Consider the following 20238-nt stretch of genomic DNA (forward strand, 5'->3'; position numbering starts at 1 on the left):
TGCCCATTATGCCCTGTGACTAAATGGATTAATGAAGCTAAGTACAAGGCTTCTAAGACTAGATTCTACTTAATCCAGGTCACATGTCAAAATGAGACTAAATATGCAAGGATTTTATTAAGGAAAATACCCGTATAAAGGAAAATAAGGAGAGAGTATGCTAAGGTTTGAGTGTGTCCCCCAAAAGTCCATGAGTTGGAAACTTAATTCCTCCATGCAGCAGTGTTGGGAGGTAGAACCTAGTGAGAGGTGTTTGGGTCAGGGAGGTTCCAGCATCACGAAGGAATTCAGACAGCCATCTCTTTCCTCTTCCACATGCCCACTTCCTCTTTCACTTCTCTGCCATGTCATAGTGCAGATCAAGACATTCACCAGAGGCCAATTAAATGACAGTTCCTTAATCTTAAACTTCCCAGCCTTCAGAACTATAAGAAATACATTTCTTTTCTTTGTAAAAGAAAATAAATTTATTTTGCTTTATATATTCTGCTATAGTAACTGAAAGAAGACTAAAATAAAGGAGTGAAAAGCTGGAAGAGTCATCAGATTGCAACACAAGTCTGACACTGAGTGAAAAAGAGAGGGGAGAAAGGTTGGGTAGAAACATCTTAGACTGCTGTGCAGTCTAAGGAAGATTCATCAGGACCATTGAGAAGTCTTCAAGCCACCAAAGGTGTCCCAAGTCTCTCTAACATACTTACCCACTGGCTGAAAACAGCTCATAGGAAAGCGAGACTTAGCACAAGCACCGAAATGTATCTCAAGTACAGCAGCTGAAGAGCTTGGTCAATTATACTGCCTGTACTAACTATATTAGAGATCCATGAGGCACATTCTCATGGCTGCCACAGGTTTATCACCTCCTTTGTCATTCAAAACTCTCTAATTGATTGTAACCTATCTTCCCAGCCTTACCTCCCACTGCTATGCCCACCATGCTTGCTTTCCGGCCAAACCATGTGACTTACTATTCTACAGAGATGGCGGCACTTGGTCTTGCTTTGTGCTGTTGCAGGATTTTTCCATAGTTCAACTAAAGTCGGGGTTCTTTGTCCCACAGCCATGAAAGTTCAGGCTCACAGACAATTTGAATGGTGAGTAAGACAGGGCTTTATTGAGTAAAAAGGAAGAATTAAAAGGAAACAGGGATTCTCCGCAAGGCCGGAGTCCCTTGCTAGAGTGCTTCCTGCCCTGGAGTTCAAACTCCAGTTTCCACACGGGAAGAGGAGGGGCCAGGCTCCTCCCCACTACAAATGGTGCAAATTTTTGAGGCTCCACCCCAGTGCGCAGGTGGGTTGGAGTTTTTCCAGGGACCTTCTCCCACTTGGCTGTCTCATTCCCCCCTCTAAAGAAGTACATCTAACTGCCCTTAAAATAAGGATAAGGACAAAGACAAATCTTAACAGCTTCCTGCTGACAGGTGGCACTGTTTTGGGGAAACGGCAGTCAGAGCTTCCTCAGAGGCCTATTTAAGGGTTCCTGGCAAAAGGGGCCATTGTCAGAGGCTCTGGTTGCATGACCATTTGGAGTTCGATGGCCTGAAGGCAAGGACAAACAAACCGGGTTATTAGAAAACATATATCAAAGCAAAACAAAGGGAGGGACAAAGACAGCTCAAAAATTCTAAGGTCTTTTTCCAGTTTGCACAGGGAGAGGGAGGCCAAAAGCCTGACTGGTTAAAAAAAAATTGTTTAAAGTAAAAAACTTCACCTTTTTGCCGGAATGTTGGGCTTCTGGGTTTCCTTCCCCTGAGCCCAATCCTAAGCCAACCAGTTTAAGGTTTGGGAAATTAACTCTTTCCAGTTTGGAGGATGCATCTGATGTGAGTGTCTCATAGTATGAAGATGCAACTACCTATTTGTGAAGAGAGAACTGAGGGGGAAAAAGGAAAAAAGAAGGCATTTTTTAAAGGAGTCCCAGGGGTTCAGGATGCATTCGAAAGAGGTACAGACTGAAGATGAATCGCTACCCATCTAGAAAGAGGAGAGCAGACATCTCTGGTTCCCTTCTTTTCCTAGCAGATACATGGGATACATGAGGGAAAGAGGGAAGAGTGTCCTCTTTTCATCTTCCATCCTTGCATCCCCAAGTTCCAGTGACCTTGGCAGGTGCTGCCATGGGTTTTAAAGTGGCTTGCACCCATGAAGCAGGGGGGGTCGGCAGGGGAGTCATCCACTTTTACCCACGTATGCCGTTTCCCCTGCTGTCAGTAGTCTTGGAGTTCCCTAGATCGCATTTATGCTATGGATATTAATATAGCCTTTATCCATGAAACAGGAAGCTTGGGCTTGGCTTAATCAGCAGGAATGAGCCACACTCACCTGTGCTGTGCCTTTTAACCTCTGTTGCTATCTGCCTCTGGATTCCTCAGATCCAGTTTTCTTCCTAGGGCTTTGACCCAACACTTGGAACTGAGTCTGGGACAAGAATGTATCTTGGGGGGTTGCATGGACTCCTTATCATAAGCCAAATGCTAAAGTGAGGCTGTGGAATTAAGTCCTCCAACAAGGGAGAGGAAAGGATGTCTTGTGACACACCCAGATAACTGGTAGCTGTAGTTACGCTTGCCGGGATTTCGGTGCATGATGCTCAGCTTTGGTTAGCTCCCTTGGTCTCACTGTCCCCAAAAGAAAACCTCCAAGTCTGGGGCATCCTATTTATTCCCATCACCTGGCAGGATTTGCAGGATAATTGCTCGGAACTAGACTATTGATCCAGATTTCTATGTTACCCATCCCTTTTGTTCTTTCTGAGCTGCAGCCAGGGATTGCTGGTTGGTTCACAGGAGCAAGCAGGGTTAGTCTAAAATATAGGCAAAAACTCAAAAACAACTATTGAGTTTAGAATTTAGTGACAAATATATGATAAGTTTTGGAACGTAATTTCTGTCTCTCCAGTCCTCATTTTTGTTAAGAAACAAATAATCATAGGAATTAGTTGTTTAAATAGACTTTAGTCTTATACTTGGCCTGATTATTTGCATAAAGTCCAGCAAGAATAATTATTTTTACATAGGCCTTTTAGATTGGCTTTGATGGAAGTCTGTTCCACAAGGAGTCTCAGATAAGACCTTTTAAAACTGAGCCCATCCATGGGTTTGTATCCTTAAACACCTGTGAGTTGGGTGATCCTCTCCTCTTAAGTTCCCAAGATAAACTTGGAGCTCCTAGACCTGTTAGAAAGTGATATTCTTTACTGACCACAGGTCAGGAACCCTGTACAGGGACTATGTAGACAAGGGTATGAGGCCAGTTTCCTCACTGGGCTTTTATTGGCTCTGTCAGTTGAGATTAACTCCTTAAGAGGAAGCATACCCTTCCAGTCAAAGCCTTGGTAAAATAACCACTTTCTCCAATTGTGTTCTGTTGCAAAAGAAAAATGGATTCTTATTGCATGGATGCAAACAACTATATTGCCATAAGTTAAGAATACTCACAGATAGGTTCTAAATTCTGGAGGAACTGGGCAGAGAGAGAGAAACAAACATGCTCCAAATTTTGATAATAGGAGTACACCTTGCTTAATTATTAAAGGCCATAAATAGCTCAAAATGAGTTTCCTTGACTGAAAAACAAAACAAGGGTCATCAATATTCCAAGCAAAAGTCAAAAAGGTTGCTTCAGCTTTTTCAGTTCAGTCCATTTAGTTAACTCTTGTTTTGCTTGATATTTGTGAATATTTCAGCTCTTTATGAGTCCTGTACATTTTCTTTTATTCCAATGTTACAATCTCTAAAGTTATCAGAAATCTGTTTTTGAGAGCACCTGTTAAAGTTCTATAGCTTGTTATAAACAATCTTTTGAAAAGGATTAAAACAAGACAACAATTGTCTGTGAATTACAAAATGTCCAGGGTAGTTACAGTTAGAAACAAAATCGACAAAGAAGTTTGGTTATCTCCATGGTTTACAATAACATCACAACCTTATTATGATTGATAGCATACACTTAGACATTAGAATTTTAGAAATCCCATACAATATTGGAACATATATTAGCATTATTTACCAAGATATAACCTAAAGAAGACTGAACATCATTTTGGCAATACCATGTACCTAAACATGTCAAATAATCCTGTTTACTTCTCTTTTCTGGACATTCTAGGGGCCCTCTGGACTATCCAAAGAGTTAGGTGTCAGGAAAGACCATTTGGAAACTGAAGTTTGATTTTGGGAAGCCTATTAAATAAGTTTAAAGCACTTGATATTATGAAATAGAATTCCAGGTTACCATAAATTATTTATTTTGCCAAAATGGTACTGAGAAATTTTAAAGAAGCAAAAACTTTTATAACCCTTTGAATTTAGTCAATATGTTCACATAGACAACCTCTTCTGCAAGATTAACTTCCACAATGCTTCTATCACTTGTTTGAACGTTCAACTTTTCCTACCTAACTCAAAACAATCCTTTAATCCAAGGCAAAAGTTTACATTTCCATGCCTTCTTATAACCTTTTACTAAAAAACACATTTTACCGTTCTTAGGCATCTTGCGTGTAAATCTATTTTTAGATTACGTGATATAATGGTAACTCCTGGCAATTTTTAACTTTAATGTAAAACCTGCTAAATTGCTTTAATTGTGTGGTAAGTGCTGCAAAGGTTTGCCTTCTTAATCTAGGGTGTGTTTAGTTCCATATATTCCCAGGCCCTACCAATTGTGAAGCAGGCAAGACAGACAGGTCTCAAAACCCAAAAAACAGTTTGTAACCTCAAAAAACTTAGCAAACCTTGCATCTGACCTGCATTTTACCGTAGTCTTTACGGCTGTTTTTATTTCTTAAAGATTAAAGTCAAATGAACTGAAAGGTACCAGAAATTTTATCTTTCCTTTAAAAAATATTAGATTCAAGTGTTTGTCCTTCTTTGGACCAGATTCATTAGAGCCGTTTTTACAGACATCACACACAGTACACAAGCAGACAAGCACAAGAAAACCCAGTCACTGGGTGGGTACCTTTAAGAGACAAGGCTAGGAAAACATGCAGACATCAAACCAGAGAGGGCTCATCCCCTAAGGCAGGATTGCTAAGCAAAGCCTTGCCAAGCGGTGGTTACCAGCCATGCCCTCAGGATGTAAAACAAAATGGAGGCTTGATTTCACAATAAAAGCTTTGCAGAAAACATAAACGGTGATAGGTGTGGGGCCTGACCTAGTAAAAAACGTCTTCTAAAAGAAAAAAAAAATTAAAGGTTAACTGCTGATGGAGTGGGGCAGAGAAAGAAAAAAAGTTTTAAAATGCCTGGGAAAGACCCTCTTATTCTTATACAACTGGTTCCTCCACCAGGAGAAAAGCTTAATTACTGTCCAATGGAGTAAAGCCCCTTAGCAGGGGAAGGTGAAGGCTTTGGTGGTGCATGGTGGAAAACAACAGCCAGCTGGCTGTACAGGACACTTGGACCGTGCGTTCCAGCCCCAGAAGGGAGGGGAGAGCAGCGGGGAGGTGCTGCTTGCTGGTCAGTCCCAAAAAAGGAAGGAAAAGGCCTGGGAGCAATAGATGATTGGGGAATGGTTTCCCCTACCCTCAGAAATTTGAGGATGAAAAGGCTTAGAATGAACGTTGAGAGGTTTTGAGTCCCCAGTTCACTTGCCACTTCTCAAGCCCCACGTTGGGTGCCAAAAATGTTGTAGGACTCTTCCTTAGTTCAGCTAAAGATGGGGTTCTTTGTCCCACAGCCACAAAAGTTCAGGCTCTCAAACAATTTGAATGGTGAGTAAGACAGGGTTTTATTGGGTGAAAAGAAAGAAAAAAAGGAAACAGGGACTCTCTACAAGGCCAGAGTCCCCTGCTAGAGTGCTTCCCACCTGGTCATTCGAATTCCAGGTTCCACACAGGAAGAGGAGGGGCCAGGCTCCTCCCCACTGCAAATGGTGCAAATATTTGAGGCTCCATCCCTGTGTGCATGCTGGTTGGAGTTTTTTCTGGGGACCTCCTCCCAGCTGGCTGTCTCAATGCTACTCCACTATTGCCTCCCCAGCCTCTAATAGTTAAAATTCCATCCTTCCTACAATGTCTAGGTCAAATGTTGTTCTCCCTCAGGCTTTCCTGAGTCCCTCCAGCCAAAAATAGTCTCCTCTGCTTCCGCATTACCAAACCATTTTGTTTTAACTCTGCAATAATGTTTACCCTCTTGCCTTCTACTATTAGGTTACTTTTGTAGTCTCTAGAAAAGTTACCTCACCTTTCTGGGACTGAGTTTTCTCATCTCAGCATATAATAGAGGGCAGATAATGACTAAAGTCTATCAAATCCAATATTCTATAATCCTAATTCATCCACTGTCAATGCTTTTATGATGGTTAAATTGAATGTCATTTTATCATGGTAACTGACACTAATGGCAAGATGACAATTTTGTACCTAATAGTCACATTGCCACTCTTCAGCATTGTAAAAAGTAAAGTAGAGGTTCCTCTTCAAAGACTTTCCTCCTTATCTAATTAGGAATAAATAGTAACTTCCCTTAAAAGCAAAATTTATTCAAAGACCTATACTAACATTCTTAAATATCTGCTAGCCATAATAAAGAAATCAATGTACTCTATGTTCTTAGCTCTTACAATTTAGCCTAAATATTTGCCTTGGCATGCTTACACTATTCCAAGCAAGCATTAGGTCATAGCCTGTTTCTCTTCCTTATTTGAAGGTGTTTTTACTTTTCTCAACATTCCACAAGTTATTTCCCCCTTCCTTTGTTCTCCTCTGCCTTTGCCTCTTTTAAAAAGTTGTAAGTTGCTAGCCAATTGGGACAAATACAGAATGTGAGGTCCCATTCCAGCCAATGGAAACTGAACACAGCAGTAAGGTGGACACATCAAGTTATAAATGACCCTGCCTCCTTTGTTTGGTGTACTGTCATGGCAAAACTGCTGGCAAGTGTACCCTTTCTGCAGAAGGCATAAAAATGGCCTTGCTGAGGAAATTAAATTTATGTTCAAGTGCTATTTCTTTACAGCACCAAGGAACAAACATTTCAAATAATTTGGTGGCCTGTACGGGGATACATTCTCATATGGAGGCAGTCTCCAGTCCTGTCTCATGAAGAAGCATGGTCCTCTGCCTCTCTGCAGTAGCCTCAAGGATAAGGACTCGAGACCCACCCAGTGTGATGAATAAACCCAGACTCTCAGTAACACACACACACACACACACACACAAAGAAAAGAAAAAAAGAAAGACAACAACAACAATAAAAACTGGCTGGCAACCTGGAGTAAAGCATCCTCACATATCACATGAACCAAGAAACTCTGTACACAGACAAGAAAAAAAAAAAAAAAAACAGAAAAACCAGTAAAGTATTTCCTTAGTAGTCAAAACCAAAGAAAAAGCCACAAGGCAGTAAAGCATTCCTTAATTAAGACATTCCGAAAAAAGAGAAACCACAATGGGGGGTAAAGCATTCCTTAGTCAGGACTAAGGAAAGAAAGCCTCGGGGGTGGGGAGGGGGTGGTGGTGAAGTATTCCTTAGTCAAGATGTCTTAGAAGTTAAAAAGAAGTAAGAAATCTCCATTAAGAAAGAAGTTGAACCTCAGAAAGAAGTGAAAAATCCCCATGGGGGGTTGAACCTCAAAAAGAAGTAAGAAATTCCCACTGAGAGGAGGTTGAACCTCAAAAAAAAGTAAGAAATCCCCATAGATAAGAAGTTGAATCTCAAAAAGAAGTGAGAAATCGCCATTGGTGAGGGGATTGAACTTCACAAAAACCTCTGGTAGTAAAAAAAATTATATATACGTATATATTCAAAATTCTCCTTTTCCCTCTTCTCCGGGAAAGAAAAGGCTAAGCTCCACTCCCGCCGGTTGCTCCCCTAGGGGAAGGGAAAGGAGAAAGACAGCAAAAACAGCAAGTGCGACACCAGACAGCCAGGCACACCAAGAGTTAAGCCCCTCTCCCCAGCCAGGCTCTATGTGAAAAAGAGGGCAGGGACTGATGCCAGAAGGAGAGTGTGGGGGACTGCCTGGGGCCAGGACTGCAGCTGTGCAAATCCCACCCAGCCCAAGAAACTAAGTGTAGGAAGAAAGGGGAAAAAAAAGTAAAAAGGGAAATCGGAAAACAAACAAACAAACAAAAACAGGAGAAACAGATGGCAATGTATGCGCAGGGGTGGGGCCCGTGCCGTGGCCTGACCCTGCCGTTGGTGGGAGCGAGAGAACTCAGGAGGGGAAAAGGAAACGGGATGACAGAGAGAGAGAGAGAAACAGAGTGCAAATGAGAGAGAGATAAATAGATGGAAAGAGTAAGTAAGAGAGAAACTGGAAGAGACAGAAATCAAAGAAAGACACAGAAGGTGAAACTACGAAAACAAAGAGTGTAAAAGGAAGGCAGAAAGTTAAGGCATGTTGAAGATTGTGAAAGTTGTAAGAAAAGTTATGAAAAGGAATTTATGCCAGAAATATTGTATAATTTAAAAAGTAAGTAGGCCTCCTGAATGTAAAATTATTTGAAAAACAGTTTATTTACAAGGTATGTAAGAAAAATAAAATATATTTTTAATAACAGGATTATAAGGAGGCATAAAAATATAGGTTTTTACATACATTAAAAAGTTAAAAATATATATTTTGTTTTAAAAGTTTAAGCAAGTTTTAAAATGTTAATTGTAAAGGAAATTCTGTGTGTAAACATAATGGCTAAAGTTAAAGAGGTATCATCCAGTTTTTCTGTGAACTGGACATTAAAATAAAAGCACAATAGATTTTTCTTAAAGCACTAACCTGCTCTTTAGCAAAAATTATAAACAGTTAAAAAGAGTCTATAAAAGTCTTACCTTATAGTCAGACATCAAAAATAGATTAAATATCTACAAGATTTTATTAAAATTAAGCTTAACATTAATAGCACATTAATATAAAAAATTTAACTTATCTGGTATAAAATCATACAAAAACACTGTCAAATATAAAACGGTGTTTAGCTTTCTTAAGGCCCAAAAGTGGCTGGGTAAGTCACAAGGCTCCTCATCCCCAAGGCCACAGTGCACAGGGGCGGTGAAGGCCACAAGAAGGCCAAGACCTTAAGAGAGGGCAAGGCCACAGCATCCCCTGGGCAGTGCTGAGCAGAGATGGAGCAGGAGGTGTCACCATGAGGCCTCAAGCCCCAGGATATGCAGCAGAAATTACACACTTAATTTATCTTCCACTTTCCCTTCCCTCAGAACTGAAAGTATTTTAGCACAAGTACCATTCCTAGAATTTCCAGTACACCAGCACCAGCCTGAAAACCACATTCTCATCAAAAGATAGAAAAAAACTCAAGCCAGCCTGGGAAGGATCCTATTTTATGCTGTTAACCACTGAGACTGCCGTCCACACAGCTGAGAAAGAATGGACCCACCATACTCGAGTCAAGAAAACATCTTCCTCTTCAGAATCATGTTACTGTACTAAGATCAAGCCCTACTAAGTTAAAGTTAAAGAAAGCTTAATTTTCATATACCTTCTATATTGCTTCCTTTCCTTTCCTTATTCTGTTACTAGCTTCTTTGTTATTAATGTAACTAAGTCTGACTCACCTCAGACCATTACCTTTAATGCTTGCTCTGTCATACCTTGTGGAGATGTAAAAGATCAATGACAGCTAGCCTTTTCACACAAATATTTATGACCCGGCTCTCTACTGGACACAGTTACCCCTAGCACTCATCATTGTGATCAGCTGCAGCCAAGACACTGATTTTCTGCTCCTGCAGCCTGGCAACCTTGTAGAAAATAGGACTATGTCCTTTAAACTACTTAGAAGCAAAGTTGGACTTCCACAAAAAAGGTTTGTGCAGATCTAAAACCCCTCATCTATTTCACTAAAAGGACTACCCCTTCTAACTGGCAGCCTTATCTATGTAACCCTGTCCTTCTCTTTATCACCACCTCCACCTTGACTAACTCTAGGCCAGCCCTTAGTTGCTTCTATGGTATGAAGATTGACATAAATGGAAAAGACCCCTAAGTATTTTTAAAGTATGCATGATTCTCCCATCTTCCCCTTCTTCAGTAGCCTCAGTTCTAGATCCCACACCAGTTGCTCCTACATCTAATAATAAAACTAAGCTGTCTGTTGTAAAAATAAGAGATCTAAGACAGACCTTAGCCATCAAGACAAAAATATCAAGATGCAAATGCCTGGCTGGAATGAATTAAATATTCCGTTCGCACTTTAAATAAAAGCGATTATTATGCTTGTACACATGGTAGGCCAGAGGCCCAGATTGTCCCCTTTCCACTTGGATGGTCTCCTTGTCAACCAGATATGGAGTGTATGGTGGCTCTCTTTCAGAATCCCATGGCTTAGGATAATACATCATGCCGAGCTCTCTATCTGCTATTTCCTGAAATTCAACACCCTACGGGTCAGCCCCCAAGGGCAATCCAGCTTCCATCTCAGATGGCCAAGTTTACTTCATGCCTCTCATAGCAAGAGGAAAATTTGGTGTTCCTTGGAAGCATAAAAAAAATGCAAGGAGCTCAAGTCTTTCCAAGAGCTTGATTATCAGTCTATGCTTAGCCATCCCCAAGCAAATGTATAGTAGTACTGTAGAAGACCTTTATTAGACACTCTGCCAAATAATTAGAACAGTACTTGTGCTCTAATCCAATTCGCTATCCCTTTCACCGTAGCAATTCATCAATCTAAAAAGGTAAAAACAAAACACCTCAGGCCAAAGGAAACTCCTTATGAGTCCTTTAATCCTCAGGTTTACATAAATGCCATTAAAGTCCTGTGAGAAGTGCCAAATAAGTTTAAAGCACAAAATCAATTAGCTGCAGAATTTAAATCCACATTGTTCTAGTAAGTAACTATAAAAAAAAGTAGGCTAAATAAACTATATCTATTACAATCAGCAACGATTCATAAATTACACTGAGGACACCATCAAAGAGATACCTAAGCAATTAGGACCTATCAGCCAGATGGCCTAGAAAAATAAAATAACTTTAAATATAATATTAGCAGAAAAAGAAGATGTTTGTGTCATACTTAAAATTTAATGTTATACCTTTGTTCCTAAAAATACTGCCCCTGACAGAATTATAACAAAAGTGCTACAAGAATTAAAAACCCTATCCAATAAACTTGCCAAAAATAATAAAATAAATAACCCTTTTTCTAAAGTAATAAAACATTTGTTCAGTAGATAAAAAGAAATTTTAACTTCAATTCTCACCTCATTTGCTGTTGTTATTGGTGTACTTATTCTTGTAGGCTGTTATATTATTCCCTACCGTCGAAGTTTTACACAAAAACCTGTCTCTGCCATGCTTACAGAGTTAACTCCTAACTCTCCTCCACCTTATTCAGAAAAATTACTTCTCTTAAAAGGACAAACAAAGCAATTAAGTCAAAACATATTAAACAAGTTTGAAGAAGAATTATGAAATAAGAGGAGGAATTGTAAAAAGTAAAGTAGAAGTTCCTCTGGAAAGACTTGTCTCCCCATTTAATTAGGAATAAATAGTAACTTCCCTTAAAAGCAAAATTTATTGAAAGACCTATAGTAACATTCTTAACTATCTGCTAGCCATAATAAAGAAATCAATGTACTTTATGTTCTTAGCTCTTACAATTTAGCCTAAATATTTGCCTTGGCGTGCTCATACTAGTCCAAGCAAGCATTAGGTCATAGCCTGTTTCTCTTCCTTATTTGAAGGTGTTTTTACTTTTCTCAGCATTCTACAAGTTACTTCCTCCTTCCTTTGTTCTCCTCTGCTTTTGCCTCTTTTAAAGTGTTCTAAGTTGCTAGCCAATCGGGACAAATACAGAATGTGAGGTCCTGTTCTAGCCAATGGAAACCGGACACAGCAGTAAGGTGGTAAGGTGGACGCATCAAGTTATAAATGACCCTGTCTCCTTTGTTCTGTGTACTCTCATGGCAAAACTGCTGGTGAGTGTACCCTTTCTGCAGAAAGTATAGAAATGGCCTTGCTGAGGAAATTGAATTTATGTTCAAGTGCTATTTCTTTACAGCACCAAGGAACAGGCATTTCAAAGAGCATGGTGCTATTAAAATAAAAACTTTAGACAAGTTAAGTTTAACATAATTTATTTGAGCAAACAAATGATTCATGAATTGGGCATTACCCTGAACCAGTAAAGGTTCAGAAGACTCTACCTGGCAATGTGGGCAGTCCATATTTATAGATAGAAAAAGGAAGTGACATAACAAAATAGCCTGATTTGTTACAGTTTAGCACTTGCTTTATTTGGACATGTCTGAGCAGTTTGCAGCCTGTGATTGGCCAAAAGCTCAGCTGCTACAGTTAACTGAGACTCAGTTGCTTGTTACAAGAATGTAGTCTCAAGGTAGGTTTATATATATATATATATATATATATATATATATATATATATATATAGGTTTATATACATATATAATGTATATATATAAAACATACATATAACATATATTATGCTTTATTTATATATATTAGGTTATAGTTTGCTTCATTTAGAGACAGCATTAGGCCAAAGTTTAATTTAACAATTCCCCTCTTTTATCAGCCTTTGAATTTTGAGAAATTGACCATAACCTAGGTCCAATTTTTTTCACCATCATAATGGACTTGTTTGGTCTCAGTATAAAATTCACAATTCACAATGTCGAATTTGTTGGATTATTCTTTATGTTTTCCTGATATTTTTGTTTTTCTAACTATAATGAGATTAGTTGATGTACAACGGATGGCTCCATATGAGCATTTGAGACTCTTAAGGGACCAGGCATGGAGGCTTATGCCTGTAATTCCAACACTTTGGAAGGCCAAGGTAGGTGGATTGCTTGAGCCCAGGAGTTCAAGACCATCCTGGGTAACATGGCAAAACCCCTTCTCTACAAAAATATACAAAAATTAGCTGGGCATGGTGGTGCACACCTATAGTCCCAGCTACTCTGGAGGCTGAGGTGAAAGGATAGCTTGGGTCCAGGAGGTGGAGGTTGCAGTGAATGGAGATCATACCACTCATACCACTGCACTCCAGCTTAGGTGATAGAGCCAGACCCTGTCAAAAGAAAAGAAAAGAAAAGAAAAGAGAGAGAAAGACTCTTAAGGGATACAATACATTAGGAAGAATATTATAATGGTTATCAGGAGGAAAAATACAAAAAATTAAAAAATTAAAGTACACTACTTAACAGGAGTCTCTACAAACCAAAATAATCTAAATTAAGCAATTTAAAGTTCAAGCAATAATAAAGACAATTCAACAGTATTCAAGTCCTATTGGTTATAGTCTTTGTTCAGGGCATGACGGTGATTAAGGGCCATAGTTAGTAGTAAAATGCCCTCCTTTAAAGAGGTGCCTGATTCTGTAGTTAGCCTGGTAACACAAGTCATACTAGTCTGAAGACCTACTAAAAGACACATAAAGATTTTAAAACCTTGGAATATTAGCCCCAAATGATTAGGCTAAAAATAAACAATAAAAAACCTTCCAATAGCCAAGTCTGCCATCCACCATTCCACCATTCTGGATACCTGCAAATCAACCATTAGCTGCTCCTGTAAACACATCATGTGTTCCTTTCCCGTGAGAAATTTCCTTGATGTATTTGGTGGCAGTGTCTAGAGAAACATCAGTATCAGCCACATTTTAAATTAAGCTTTTTGTAGTAGTAAAATCAGGAGAAAGGTAAGTACAATATTCAGTTTCGTTTAGCACTATACACAAGTCCTCAATGTAGGCAAAGAGAAGATCTGCGTGATGCTCCATTAAGTATTTTTGTTGAACATGAATGTTTTCATACACCTTTCAAAGAGCAGCTTCTATGCATCTGAACTTTTGGGCGGTCACATTGGCTACAAAATCTAAGATTTTTCCTAATTTACAGACTATCTTCAAATTCTATACAACCAGCACCCCAATACTGCCAAGAGTGTGCCCCCAATAACCCCACAGGAACATTTCCTCCAAGGAAACTAACTTATCTCCATCTATTTCAAGGTTTGTGCTAATTTTGGTTATTGATTGCTTTGGCCTCTGGTTATGAAAGATACAATGGGAACTTTCAGGAAAAGCTATTCAGAAGGTAGGAGGGAGACAGGCCATATAGCAAAATCTGAACCAGTGAGGAAGAGGTAAGTAAATTCTCTTCAGTCCCAATGTAGGCCCTCAGGGGCTAGGAAAGATGGCCACCTAGTGGTGTTTGAGCAGAAGTCAATTAAATTTGTCCACAAGTTCACATAGCTCCTGAGTAAGGTACAGTGAGAAACTTACTCAAAGGGTATGCTGTAAGGGTGCATAACCACATTTAGTGGAAAAGGAGCTTCCAGATTTAATTCAGTGACATCATACAAGCAATTACTCATACCTGCATTGGTAGTCCCCAGGTCTTGAATATGTGATATACCTTTTACAGACATCACTCAGATATGTTTTCTATATTTGGTAACAATTAGGTTATTAATTGGAAAGTTCGTGGTACTATTTCTAGTGAGTGTAGAAAAGTAAGTAGCAGTAATGTCTAGAATTTTAAGGAAAGCTTTCCACTCTTCCTCTAGGGCTTCATGATGACTCTCAATGGGAACACAGACATTGGCATGAGAGAAATTGTTTTCTGATATGGTGGCATTAGCCTACAAACCCAACAATTGCTCTCATTTCTTTTTAGGGCATAAGCTTTTGATAAAGCCACACACAGATTATGCTCCCGTGGATTTTCCTTTAAGGAAAAGGAAGTGATTCAGACAGCAGAAAACTAGGGGGAAAGGGGAGAAATAAGGCTTTCGTGATGACAGAGAAATCTTATTCTATGGTCTTAGGAAAGTGTCTATGTCTAGGATACCATCTGCCTCTGGGGAAAAACTTCCCTGGTCATCTTTACCTTAAGGCCTCCAACAAATATACACCAGGAGTCTGGAGGAGCCCTTCTTAGTAAAAAGATGTGAATACGAGACTCAAAACCCTGAGGTTTTGCTGCAAAGAAGAACTTGGTATAGTCCCTATCAAGGGCAGTCTTCCTCTGGTGTCATTTCCAAAAGACCCAACCTCATTGCTCTAAATCATGAAAGGTCTGCTTGTCATCAATTTGTGAGTCACAAAGGGCTTTTCTTACCTAGTGAAAATGTGCTTTGGCATAATGCGTCAAAGCATGGCACTATTGAGTCATGTCAGAGTTTACAAAAGCAAAAGATCCATAGGTTTTATTATTAACGGAATAAGCCTTGAAGTAACTATTTCATAATTTCAAATATTTAATTTCATAAGCAGTCAACCTAGATTTCTAGTGAGGATGAGTGTGATTGCCATCAGTTGATAATTGCCTTTGACTAAGGCAATCCAATCAATGTAGTTAGCTTCGCCTAATGCCATTGTATTTATAATATCTTATTTAACTGTTTTACAACTTGTCCAGTGAAATTCAAAGGTGAAGCAGGCTAGGCTTCTGGGTTGGGTGGGGACTTGGAGAACTTTTCTGTCTAGCTAAAGGATTGTAAACACACCAATCAGTGCTCTGTGTCTAGCTAATGGTTTGTAAACGCACCAATCAGCACTCTGTAAAAAAGGACTAATCAGCACTCTGTAAAATGGACCAATCAGCAGGATGTGAGTGGAGCCAAACAAGGGAATAAAAGCTTGCCACCCAAACCAGCAGTGGCAACCCGCTTGGGTCCCCTTCCACGCTGTGGAAGCTTTCTTCTTTCACTCTTCACAATAAATCTTACTGCTGCTCACTCTTTGGATCCGCACTACCTTTATGAGCTGTAACACTCACCGGGAGGGTCTGCAGCTTCATTCCTGAAGTCAGCGAGACTACAAACCCACTGGGAGGGACAAATAACTCCGGACACACCATCTTTAAGAGCTGTAACACTCACCGCGAGTGTCCATGGCTTCATTCTTGAAGCCAGTGAGACCAAGAACCCACCGGAAGGAACCAATTCCAGACACAAAATGAGTACTTCTATCACTGAAGATTTCTCCAGGAATGAATGATAAGGGAAACACATTTTCTTTTTTCCTTTTTATTTTTTTCTTTTGAGACGGAGTCTCACTCTGTCACCAGGCTGGAGTGCAATGGCGCAATCTCGGTTCACTGCAACCTCTGTCTCCCTGGTTCAAGCAATTCTCCTGCCTCAGCCCACCCAGTAGCTGGGATTACAGGCACGCACCACCACGCCCAGCTAATTTTTGTATTTTTAGGAGAGACGGGGTTTCACCATGTTGGCCAGGATGATCTCGATCTCCTGACATGATCCACCCGCCTCGGCCTCCCAAAGTGCTGGGATTACAGGTGTGAGCCACTGTGCCCAGCCAAGGGAAACACATTTTCTAATAAACTTTAGCTATTATTATGGCATCAGCCTTCCTGCATGGGAAAGCTTCTATACAACCAGAAAACATACATTTAATGTGTCACTTGAAGGAACTCCATTTTTAAGTGTTCAAATGATCCAGCAGGTGTGTATCACCTGAAGTTTTTATTTTCTTATCAGAACTATGAGTTTGACAATTTATAACCAAAATTGGTTATAAATTTTAGCAATTTTAAAAGTCATGCCATCAATATTTTTTCATAATTTGAATCATTTTATCTCTGTCATGATGAATATGGAATTCAGAGCTCTTAATAATGGAAGCTTTAAGGACTCAGGAAGGACCAAGCAGCTGTCCAGACTCTTCATGAGTTAATGCTTAATATTGCATTTACGTCTTTTTAAATACCAATTTTGTTTCTCCAATTCAGGTGAATAGTACTGCTCATTAAATAGGTTATCATAGGTAATTTGACAGTGATCAAACTTTTAAAGTTTATTCAAATTGCATATCTTAACAATTTCAGTACTGGCTGACTTAGCATAAAAGTCTGCCAAATCATTTCACTGATATCTAATTAATTCTTGTCCTGACATATATTGGGTTCACAGTTTTATGAACCAGTCAATTTTTTCATTGTAGAATTCTTAGCCAGTCCAATGGTATGATCTTAAAGTTATCAGAAAACTATATTTGTCAGTGTCCTTTTCATGAGTCTTCTTGAAGATGAAACACTTTAGGCTTATAGTTGCCCAGGAAAGTACCATAGTAAACAATTAACCATCTGTGAATGACAAGACTTAAAATTGCCATGGTTAAAAACCTGATGAGACCAGGCATGGTGGTACATGACTCTAATCCCAGCACCTTGGAAGGCTGAGGCAGGATGATTGCTTGAGCCTAGGAGTTCAAGACCAGCCTGAGCAACATAGTGAAACCCTGTCTCTACGAAGAATAAAATAATTAGCCAGGTGTTGTTGTGCATAGTAGTCCAGCTACTTGGGAGACTGAGGTGGGAGGATTGCTTGAGCCCAAGAGCCCAAGGCTTCAGTGAGACGTGACCATACTACTGCACTCCAGTCTGTGTGACAGAGTGAGACTCTGCCTCTGAAAAAAGAAAAGAACAGAAAAGAAAAGAAGATAAGAAAAAGCAAGAAAAGACAGACAAGAAAAGAAAAATAAAAAGACCTAATGAAAATTCACTACAATAATGATGGAATTGATAAGGAAATGAAGTTACTTCTGTTTCATACAACATTTTAAGATAATAACTAGAATTATGAATACCAGCATTATATGAGGACAACTTGATGTCTATGAATTTCATACAATTTCCAAACCATATAGTAATAACACATACACACAAAAATAACCCAAAGAAAGTTAAGCATTACTTATTTTTGACAGTACTATTCATATAATTTAATGTATCAAATAAGCCCAAATACTTATTATCTATCTTTTGTAAGGATGGATATCCTTTTGATGTGTTCCAAGGGCCCATGTGGAAAATCTCAAAGTTAATTCAAGGTCAAGAAAAAGGTTTAATTTTACATTTTATATTTGGGAAGTCTGTCCAAAATATCAAAGGTTTGAAACACTTGAGCAAAATATTTAATAGGATCACAGGTCACTGTGAATAGTAGTAATTTATTTAACCAAAGTGATAATTAAAACACTTCAAAGGCAAATATAGAAAGCTACATAGTTGTAGAAAAACTTTAGCTCTCTTAATAGAGAAGACTCAGTTCTCTTATGAAATAAAAAACCTAATAAAGACAGCATGAAGCACTGGACATTATCTTAGTAAAATACAGAATATTTATCTCCTACACCAATTATCTAAAATGGAAAGAAAAACCTTTCACAATTTCCTGTTAGAAGTAGACCAAGAAAATGTTGTTTTAACAGAAACACCAAATTCTAGTTTTGTATCAGTGTAGTTCTCATACTAATACTGAATTTTTAGAAAAACTTGTAAATAGTTCTTTCTAATCCTAGCTAGCCTGGTCACACATGAAATTTATTCCACGATTCATCTTCTACATTGAAAGAACATACAAGAAAAAAAAAGATTTATCTTTCACAAACTCTCTACAACTTTTTCATCATTCAGTTTTTGTCCTGTACTTTACCTCTTTTCATTTTGGAAAAACCAGTCATTCTACTTTAGTCCAAAAATTATTCTTTTTTCCTTAACAAAACATAACATTCTCATATCTTATAGCTTTTCCTTATCAAAAGTAAATCTTACTTTCCTTGTATTCTTGCATACAGAGTTGTTTCCATTATTAGTTCTAGTGATTTTACTTACATGTATTAATTAGAATTCTTAATCTCTAGTGACTTTAATTTCCAGGGAACATTAGGAAGCAAGCAGCTGTGAACTGTCTGTCACACCAGCAATCTGTAAATTGGCAAATGTATGATCATAGTTTCTAGAAGCACATCCTTTCTCATAGTACAATTTGTCAGTGTGGCATAGAAGATATTTACTAACATTCCCAAATATCCTTAGTCCCTCTGCAATAAGAAACTGTAGAGGAGGCAAAATTGCATGTCTGTCCTCCTAAGGGTTTGTTTTTGTTTGTTTGTGTGTTTGTTTGTTTGCTAGGCCTGAGAATTAAATTGTTGTTATTACAGATTACCCTCAGCCTCAACTTTTCTTTCTTGATAAGAATGTCAAAACTTTCTGGTACAGAAAGAATTTTTTTACATGAGAACTTTATCTTACATCCATTTAACTCACTTTTTTAACAATTTCACTTGGATTGCTTGTAAAGGTTAAATATTAAGCAGCTAGTCATCATCTTATTTTTCTTGCTGACAAGTTTTGTAATATAGACATAAAATAAATTTATTTTATTGGTAACCCTAGGTAGGAAAAGTCATGCATCTGTATTATATTTAGTACTGAAAAATCTGAAGACATGCCTGTTTTAATTAAACCAACAGTATCCTAATTTATCAAAGATTACCCAAATCATGTGAACTTGAAAACTACTTGGGTTAGTTCTTATTTTTCTAAACAAATACTTCATTTATGTAAACACTTATTTTTCTTAAAGCCAATTAGAGTTCTTTTAGCACTTAATTTAGCAATATCATAAGTAGATAGAAAAATATCACACATAGATATCATATATAGAGACATATATAAACATACAGACAGAAACAGATCTTACAGCTTTCATTCTAATATTTTAGCCGTGTGCCAGTGCAATAATACAAGCTCACTAATTTATTAAAGAATATCTGGATCTAGGCTTGGAACAGCGGCTCATGCACATAATCCCAGCACTTTAGGAGGTTGAGGTGGGAGGATCACTTGAGACCAGGCATTCAAAACCAGCCTGGGTAACATGGCAAGACCCTATCTCTACAAATGAATTTTTTAAATTACACAATTTTTTTTAAAGAACATCTGAATCCAAATATTTTCTGTTCATTAGAACTAGGATTTTTTGCCCAATGGCTAAAGATTTTGACTGGCATTTTTGAAAAATACTTTTAAGATGCTTTTCATTTGCCTTCTGTAAAGAACCTTTTAAAGAGAGAATCTTTGATTCATTTAATCCTTTAGATGCCTCTTTGTACCACTTACAGAATGCATTCCATTTTTTTTTTTGGCTTTTTGCATTTGTTTTCTAATGCACTTTGCAAGTGAACAATTTTATCTAGGTTAACACATCCCCACTGTAGTCACTAGTAAAGTTAACCCATTTTCCCCAGAACATACAGGTTCTGGGCCCAGAATTTGTGCACATAAAGGTAGCCAGTGTGGCAGAAAGTGGAGTCTCAGACTCCTAGAGTCCCAGACTCCTTTTTGATTTGAAAGGTACCTACATGAGGCCTCTAACTAGATCCAATCTAGTTAATTATTAAGTCCAATTTGATCCTAGACCCAGTCAACTAAAAAGTGCTCAAGTAAAGTTAGAGAGTTTATCACACAAATCCATGGAGCTCAAATTCAGGACAGAATTC

At 38.5% G+C, this 20238-nt stretch overlaps 2 long non-coding RNA genes across 3 annotated transcripts in view, besides 1 other annotated feature; both read right to left on the minus strand.

Moving 5' to 3' along the window:
* LOC124900413 (uncharacterized) overlaps positions 1–11532 on the minus strand; it is a 28272-nt gene extending 16740 nt beyond the window's left edge. Inside the window, exon 1 of the long non-coding RNA XR_007066731.1 lies at positions 11168–11532. This is a non-coding gene — a long non-coding RNA (uncharacterized LOC124900413). The remainder of the gene's footprint in view (positions 1–11167) is intronic.
* FMO1-AS1 (FMO1 antisense RNA 1) overlaps positions 1–20238 on the minus strand; it is a 131518-nt gene that overhangs the window by 92458 nt on the left and 18822 nt on the right. The gene's annotated exons all lie outside the window — the stretch shown is intronic.
* Positions 6804–7365: an enhancer, noted in NCBI's record as "NANOG-H3K27ac hESC enhancer chr1:171188772-171189333 (GRCh37/hg19 assembly coordinates)". NCBI's record gives its function as "activates a minimal SCP1, AML or CMV promoter by ChIP-STARR-seq in naive H9 embryonic stem cells {active_cell/tissue: H9 hESC(naive)}" and the evidence as "EXISTENCE:reporter gene assay evidence [ECO:0000049][PMID:30033119]".

The sequence above is a fragment of the Homo sapiens genome, chromosome 1 (assembly GCF_000001405.40).
Source record: "Homo sapiens chromosome 1, GRCh38.p14 Primary Assembly".
NCBI lineage: Eukaryota > Metazoa > Chordata > Mammalia > Primates > Hominidae > Homo > Homo sapiens.